The sequence below is a fragment of the Homo sapiens genome, chromosome 13 (genome assembly GCF_000001405.40).
Source record: "Homo sapiens chromosome 13, GRCh38.p14 Primary Assembly".
Taxonomy (NCBI): Eukaryota; Metazoa; Chordata; class Mammalia; order Primates; family Hominidae; genus Homo; species Homo sapiens.
The window spans coordinates 79,632,485-79,634,210 of NC_000013.11; positions in this window are offsets into that span (position 1 = coordinate 79,632,485).

Here is a 1,726-nt window from a genome sequence, read left to right on the forward strand (position 1 = left end):
TAATGCACCAAAAAATTGGGAGATGAAGGGAAAAAGAAAATGGAAAAAGCTCATTGTTGTATAGGCAACAGGTGGACATAAAGGATACTGGGGTGGCATCTCAAATCACTGGGAGAAAGGCAGGTTTTTAACAAATATGCTAGAACAACTAGATCGCCACTTGGAAAACAATAAATTTAAATGTATACCTTGCACCATACATAAGAATAAACTGCAAATTATAGATTAGGATCTAAAGTGTAAAAAATACTAAACCATTCAAGTACTGGAATAAACTATGAGTGAACTCTTATTAACCTTGAGCTCTCATTAAACTTGATATAGGGAAAATCTTTATAACTATGACTCAAAATCCAGAGACAAAAAAGATTGAAAATCTGACTATATAAAAATAAAAAAATTTGAATAGAAAAGCAGCCCCATATCAAAAGCACCACCAAAAGGCAACTGATGAACTGGAAGAAAATTCACCACACATCGCAGAGACAAAGAACTCTTAAAAGTTGAGGGACACAAGATCAAAAACCTGATAGAAAAATTAGAAAAAGAATGAACAAACAATTTACATTAAAAATGATACAAAAGTGGTCCTTAAACATCTAAAGCCATTCAAATTAAATCATAGAGAAATACAAACTAAAATAGCACAGAGATAACAGTTCTCATTTTTAGAGTGGTAAAAATTAAAAAGCAATAATATTTTGTGAGGTTGTGCAGAAATGGGCATTCTCATACATTGCTAGTGGGAATGAAAAATGGTACATCACTTCTAAAGGGATCTATGGCAAGACCTAGCAAAACTACCTATTCTCTTACTTTTTGGCTCAGAGATTTCATTTCTAAGCATCTGTCCTGACTATAAACCTCCAACAATATGAACATTCATATGCACAAGACTATTCATTGAGATATTGTCATTGCAAACTATTGGGAATATAAACGTCTATACATAGTGGAATAGTATCATAAATTATGGTATATTCACCCAACAGAAAACCATATAGCTGTAAAATTGAAGGATGGTGATTTCTGGGAAGTGACTAGTGATTTTCAGGATATACCATTAAGTGTGAAAGCAAACTACTAAAGAGTATTAAAGTGTGACAACAATCATATGAGAAAGAAGGAGATATAAGAAAGTATGTATCTGCTAGTTCATGCAAAATATAAGATAAATCTGTAAACAAGGAGATTGGTTACTTACAGAGGTAAATGGAAAGAGGGTAGAGAGAAGGGAGGAATGGGAGTAGAACAATGTGGATTAGGAAGAGGTGTACTCTTCAATGAATCCAACTTTTCTATAGCTCTGACTCTAATAACCATAGTAATGTCTCATATAACCATAGTAATGTTTCATGTACTAAAAAATTAAGTTAACCAGGATATACAGATATAAAAATGGAATATAAATAGCAAAAAAAAAAATGAACCTAACTGCATTACAAATAAATAACATTTTACTGAAGGGGATGAGGAAGATAAGGCCTGATCTGAGTAACTCTGGAAAAAGTGTATTTTAACTGGGTATCACAAGGCTGAAGACCAAAAAACAAAAGCAAAACCAAAAACAATCCTGTATACAAACACCATACTCTAGTTGGTAAATCTATAAGAGTATGGATTAGTAATTCAGTAACTATTTTATGTGTATAATAGGATTGAAGGAATAAATGAATGTGTGATAGATAATGAGAGTCAGGTTTCCCATGGTCAGAAATAGAAATAT